At 41.2% G+C, this 6,551-nt stretch overlaps 1 annotated feature.

Moving 5' to 3' along the window:
- Positions 1,101-2,041: an enhancer, noted in NCBI's record as "OCT4-NANOG hESC enhancer chr18:63032444-63033384 (GRCh37/hg19 assembly coordinates)". NCBI's record gives its function as "activates a minimal SCP1, AML or CMV promoter by ChIP-STARR-seq in primed H9 embryonic stem cells {active_cell/tissue: H9 hESC(primed)}" and the evidence as "EXISTENCE:reporter gene assay evidence [ECO:0000049][PMID:30033119]".

Genomic DNA, 6,551 nt, shown 5'->3' with positions numbered 1-6,551 from the left:
AATGTATAATGATCAAATCAGAGTATTCAGTGTATCTACCATTGAGTATTATGTTGGGAACATTTCAAATCTTCTCTTATTCATTTTGAAATATACAGTAAAGTTGGCTAGGAGTACAGGATTTCATGGTGGGAGTGTGGGCCTCTGGGTTCTCTTGCTTATCTGTTTTCTTGCGATGGGGAGTTCCTCTCGGCTCCAAGCTGATCCCTGGCCAGCTTCTCCTTCAGTGCCTCAGAGGTTCCTGGCCACTTCCCTGCTGAATTAAGGTGTTCTCTCTTAGATGCTCCAATCAATGTGTATTTATCTACTTGTGCTTTTGGTCCTTTTATTGTGGAGGAGGGACAGCCAGGTGCCTCTAGGCAGCCATCTTGAACCTCTCTGCAAGACATGTTCTTACACAAGTAAACTTAGAAATATGACTGCTAAATGCTAGTCTCTTGATTGGCCTTTTCACTGATTTTAGTGCAAGTTCAGGTTCATTCCTCTACCCGTGGAGCTTCCCCATGATTTTGTATTCTAAGTTGATTGTTATCACATTAATCAAACAAGATAAGAAAGATGGAACAAGAATTATGGATGCCGGGATAATAATCATGCAATAAAGAGTGCTGGAGGGATCCTATAGAGATGAAGGGCCTAGTACATTTGTGAAGATTTGGGGAATCCAGGCAACTACAACATGCACAGGCATCTAGAACATGCACAGGCATCCGCTGCAGGAAAATAATAAAGTATTTCATACTATATGACTAAGAAAAATGCTTCATTTTAGTTCTTTTCGGTAGCATATATTTAAGTAGCATAACCTTTGAGAATACTGCTACAACTTATTATCAGGTGCCTTCAAATGCTGTCAATATTGAGTAAGGCTTGGAACAAAAAAGGGCTCTGTTCCGAACTGTGGCTGTGGTACAAATAACACTGCCACTTGGAACATATTGTCTGCACAATCTCATGGTGCTGAAAGTATATGAAGTAGATAATTTTGTGTGCTGAACATGGCAAACCCTAACGGAAAAGTCACAGATAAGCTTCTTAGGGCTCAAGAGTAAGGACCTCTTCAGCAAAGGGTTGCTGAAAACCATTCAGAAACACCACTCTGGCATGTTTCTGGATTCTGGAGGTGATTGAACAGGTGTCTATGAGCCTCTTATGAGCTGGATGCCGCCAGGCCCACCAACTCATAAGTTTGGGCAGGCATAGCAGCTATCCATTCCACCACGGAAACAATACATGTAGGATTGGGTATGAGCCAATTCTGAGGCCACAAGTAATCTGAACACACATGTCATCTGCCCCTTTAGTAAGGAGTAAGACAGATTTAATATATCCATCAGTTTAACTAAACTTCAGACAATTTTCTTCCTGCCTCTAGGCCCATGACCTCCTTTTCACACAGATCCTTATAGAATCCAGATGGTCTAACCACAGGAACTCTCCCCTTCCCCTTTCTTAGAGCATTTACTTTATAGAACTTGTCATTGTAAATTTTTTCTCTGCCCTTTTGAGATGTAAATCATTTTAAAAGCCTCTTGCCAGTTTTACAATCAAGGAATGTCTTCCTCAAGGACCCAGGATCCATCTCATTGAAAAGAAATCATCAAGGGACATAGCATCACTCTCTCTAAGTTTCTTTGGGGAGGTAGGAGATTAACTGCTACGAGTCCTTTGCTCCAAGTTGTGAAACTATTCCTTTCACAAAGATAAGAGAAAGGTTACCTTTCCTTTGGCAAAGATGATTAGCAAATGTAGATAGCCTGTGTTCTCCCTCACACTTCAGTGCTTAAAAATCCACCTGCTTTTGTTTCAGTGGAGTTCAGCTCAGGCTGAATCCTGGTTCCTCACCCCTATTGCAACAGCCTTACATAAATTACTCTTCACCTGTATAACTTTTCCCAGTGCAGGTTTTGCTTTGGCAATGCTGACACATCCTCCTCATCTTATGCCTATGGCTTCATGAGGGTCTTCCTATGACCAGAGGACAGAGAGGAAGAAAACATAACTTTGTGGAAATTTCATTACACTGATCCCATTCTGCTTAAAAGTGCAGCAATTCATTCTGATGGAGACTGACAACTATTCCAGGATTAATTTTTCGATTTCTGCCTGGAGCACTTCAGAAAGTACCACTCTCCAAGTGTTTAATAAATGTTTCTTTTATTGACATAATATCTTAAATAACATCACTACAGTACAAGAAAACCACTTTATGGTAAAAAGAGGTGCATTAATGAGAATACTACCATGGAATCTACTGGTAGTCCTGCTACTGCATCATCCAGTAGCTGCTGGTGTGACAGAGCATTGGACTACCCTCTTAGAGGTTGAATTATGCCTGTAGCTTGAAGATGGGGCCCTTGAGTGTTTGACTTTTCTTTGGGGATTTGTGCCTGAGGCCAGCAGCCATCACAAAGTGCCAGAAACAAAGGGTGAAGACAGAAGTAAATTTCTTCTCAGTCCTTTCTGATAAAATAATTGAGGAAATACTGCTTCCCATTCCTTGCAGCTTTAGGTTTGGTGAGTTTAGAAGTTGTGGTTCCTAGAAAGTAAATAATTCTCCCAAGGGAGATAAAGCACCCCACTAAACATAAAGCTACAGCTGCAGCCTGCTCACTTATGCTCATCATAGTGAGAGACCAGTAAGCAAATAAAGGGTGCTGCATACTTGAAGGGGTAGTGGATTTGTTCAAAATGAGGTAGTGTTGCCACTGCTACATAATTTGGAGCAGGGAGGAATATGTTCCAAATTCAGTGGATTCTCCAAGACAATTAGAGCAACTAGGAGCTCAGATTCCTTAGTGGTGACTGGATCACTTAACCAGTCAACTTACCTAGAGAAGTAGAAGCATTAACTGCAAGAGAAGAAAATGGGTGATAGAGGAGGAAAATGAAGAATGTCAGCTAGGAATGCACGTTCAGTAGCTCTGTTCAGTCACTTTTTACATGTAAGTTTTGTCCCAGGAATTTTGACCAGCCACAGTCTAGAAAAAGGCATTCTCAGATAGAGGAAATCACTGGGAGGCATAACTGGATCCAGTCTTTGAAAATCATAGACTGCAGCAAACACAGATCTTGTGTATCAATTCTGTGCATCTCTCCCAGCCTGTGCTTCCCAGGGCCCATACCTGGAATTCTCTGTGGAGAACTGCCTTAGGCTACTGAAGCCAATCTGTCTGTGTGTGTAGACAACCAGAAATGTCTGGAAATGTATGTCTGCTTTCTTCCCATTCCCACTCCTCCAACTACGACGTCCTTGGCCAATAACTGCTGTGAGAATATGAAATCTTGTCATCTCGCCTTGAATTGCAGCCACCATAGAGATATAATTAATACTCCAAAGGCCGCTTATGAGATTATGCAGAGGCTACACATTTACCTGAAGATTTACCTTTGTTTGGCATCTTCAACTTTCCCCATTTCCTTACTGTGTTTTCTTCTAGAAAATATTCTTAACCAATTTCCGTAAGGCAGTCTTCATCTGGAAATCTTTACACATGGCACTTCAACTTATTTATTGACACTGTTAATCAGTTTTTGGGTTCTTTGCAGCCAGACACATGCATCCTAAAAAGTGCCAAATAAAAGTATTCAGGAGTCTGAGGCAGGAGAATCATTTGAACCCGGGAGGTGGAGGTTTCAGTGTGCTGAGATTGCACCACTGCACTCTAGCCCGGGCAACAGAGCGAGACTCCATCTAAAAAAAAAAAAAAAAGTAAAAGGGGATCAACAAGCTTTACATATCAAAGCGAAATGGAATACTCCAGAATGCAGCCAACTTGACCATGGTGATATCCTGGCATTAAAAAACAAAGTACCAGCTGTCTTTTTGGTGTAAACTTTATCTCCTGCTCTACCTACTAAAGCAAAGCTGCTGGGTGAATGGGGCTTCAAGTTACAGAAGGACCCAAAAAGCCTGGGTCTGGGTTTGGTTTGCTGATGATTGAGCTGGGCCAGGAGCTGATGGTTTTCAGGCACTGCTGCAAGTGTTAAGAGAGAATGCCAGCAGAAATGAAATGGACATGGTTACTCTGCTCGGTGGGCAGAACTCACGGCCATTTCCATGGCTCGAGACAATACTCCCATTGCTTCCCTTGTGGAATTTTACAAACTCTTAGGCTATTGCCAACAGTCCAGCTGTTTGGCTTGCCACTTAGAAAACTACAGACTGGGAGATTAATGACACACCTGTTTGTGGTCACAAACTGTAGAAAAGATGGTGGCTCCTGATTGAATTCTGAGTCAATCCCGTGGATGCCTACAGTAAGAGTCTGTTCTCTAATGAGTCCAGATGAAATTGGGCTGATTATTAAGCTTGCATGGCCCAGAGTGCCACCAATGCCTCCCGATGCATCATCATAACTGCTATGGCAACATATCCACCATCACAGGCTGGGCACAAGGTAAAAGAATCTATGTATCTGATGCTAAGGCTGTCACTGCATTCTAGATTTGTGACTCGTACGAAAAGTGGAACCATTTGTCTTACTATGAGAAAAGTCACATAACTCAGGTCAAGGCCCTTGCCACTCCTGGCAGATTGACTACATCTGTCTTTTGCTGCTTTGGGGATATCACCGATGCCTAACCACTGTTAAAAGTTTTCAGGCTAGGCCCAGCACTGTGGCTCACGCCTCATAATCCCAGCATTTTGGAAGGCCGAGGCGGGCAGATCACCTGGGGTCAGGAGTTTGAGACCAGCCTGACCAACATGGAGAAACCCTGTCTGTATTAAAAATTACAAAATTAGCCAGGCAATGCAGTGCATGCCTGTAATCCCAGCTACTCGGGAGGCTGAGGCAGGATAATCACTTGAACCCGGGAGCTGGAGATTGTGGTGAGCCAAGATCACGCCATTACACTTCAGCCTGGGCGACAAGAGCAAAACTCCTCCCTCCCCCCTCCCCCACAAAAAGAAAAGTTTTTAGGCTATACATTTGCTGTTCCAGTCTAAGTCGACATTAGCCGCATGATTCTGGTTCTTAAGTATAATCTGTATTTTTGGCTTTTTGAAGCTCTTTGGAGTCTGACAATTGAGCACCTTTTACAGCCACTTAATAATGGGTGGTAAGGTAAAATGTTAGCACCTTTACAATTCTTGACAATGCTTTATACAATTTAAAATAAAATTATTTCCAAACTCTTTTTAATATGAGCATTTGCATGAAATAAATGAATTATACACCAAGAGACACACACTACTATTTACATTCAGTCAGCTTATTGTTTACTTGAGTAAGGTCATGTGGCCAGGATTGTAACTTTTATTCCACAGATTTAAAGAGTACCTATTAGATCATGTGAAGTGCAAAATCACCACAGTTCTGATATGAATTGGGGAAGAAAAAGGCAATGGTATATCAGGCTTAAAATATAGACTCAATTCATGGCACATTCCAGTTTTGATGGGCATGGCACCTGAATATCAACTCATTCCTCAGACTGGGCTCCCTATTGCTGTTTCTTTGGACTAAACATTTCATGATAAAACTTGTGTGTTCTTACCTCCTAATCAGTTGTTGTGATAATACTTTATTTTCTTTTTGTGCCATCCCTATAAATTAATAAACCTATAGTTATAAAAGTAGTCCCTTTTATAACGCTGCCAAGCACAGTTTTACTTTGTACCACTTGAGAAATTTACACAAATAAAGCTGAGATAGAGAATAAGTCTTGTGTCTGAGACCAATAGAAATGTTAACTTGCATCTATTCTTCAAACTCAAGGGAAATGTGTGTGTGTGTGTGTGTGTGTGTGTGAGAGAGAGAGAGAGAGAAAGAGAGAGAGAAAAGACAGAGAGAGAAAAGACAGAGAGAGAGAGAAAGAAAGAACCACAGAGACAGACATAATGACTGACTTTCATATTTGCCTTTATGAGGCAAGGATTCTACCCAAGTTGATTTACTGCATGGAAAGAGGAATGGATGTGGTGGATACAAGCTAACCTGAGGGACTAAGCTACAGTGTTTAGTCATCTATTTTGTTCCTGTCTCACTAAACAACACATCATTACTCCTCTTTCACGAGGACTGGATGAGGGGCGTAGATACCAACTTCCCAATGATTCAAAAGTTTTTACTGGACTAAGAAAAATAGGAAGGCAAGAAGAGGACAAAAATAACTCTTCCTACTTAGGGCACATGTTGATACAGCTTCCATAAACTTTATTATAATACTTGAGGCTGATTTACTGCCAAACCTCTATGCTTCTGAGTACTGTAACTGTTTGCTAGCAGCATCAAGGGGCTGTTATGAGACTCAACTGCATACTTTAAAATGTTGTCCTCCCCAGAGCAAACAGTACAATGATGTTACATAAACTATATAGGCTGAAATCTATAATCCCTCATATATATCTTAAACACAGAGCATGTTGATGTTAAAGGTGAAAAAAAGAAATATTGCAGAAGGTCTTTCATCCTTTTGCCTCTTTGAATTTGAGGCTACTATCAACAGATGCAGTGATTTCCAGTTGATAGAAAGCAGTGTATACTATGTGTTCAGTTTCAGAGACACACTTCACTTGTCATGATGACATCTTAATAATAAATTGT

This window comes from Homo sapiens, chromosome 18 (genome assembly GCF_000001405.40).
Source record: "Homo sapiens chromosome 18, GRCh38.p14 Primary Assembly".
Classification (NCBI taxonomy): Eukaryota; Metazoa; Chordata; class Mammalia; order Primates; family Hominidae; genus Homo; species Homo sapiens.
The sequence above is the reverse complement of the archived record's forward strand: the minus strand, read 5'-3'. Positions and strand labels throughout refer to the sequence as shown.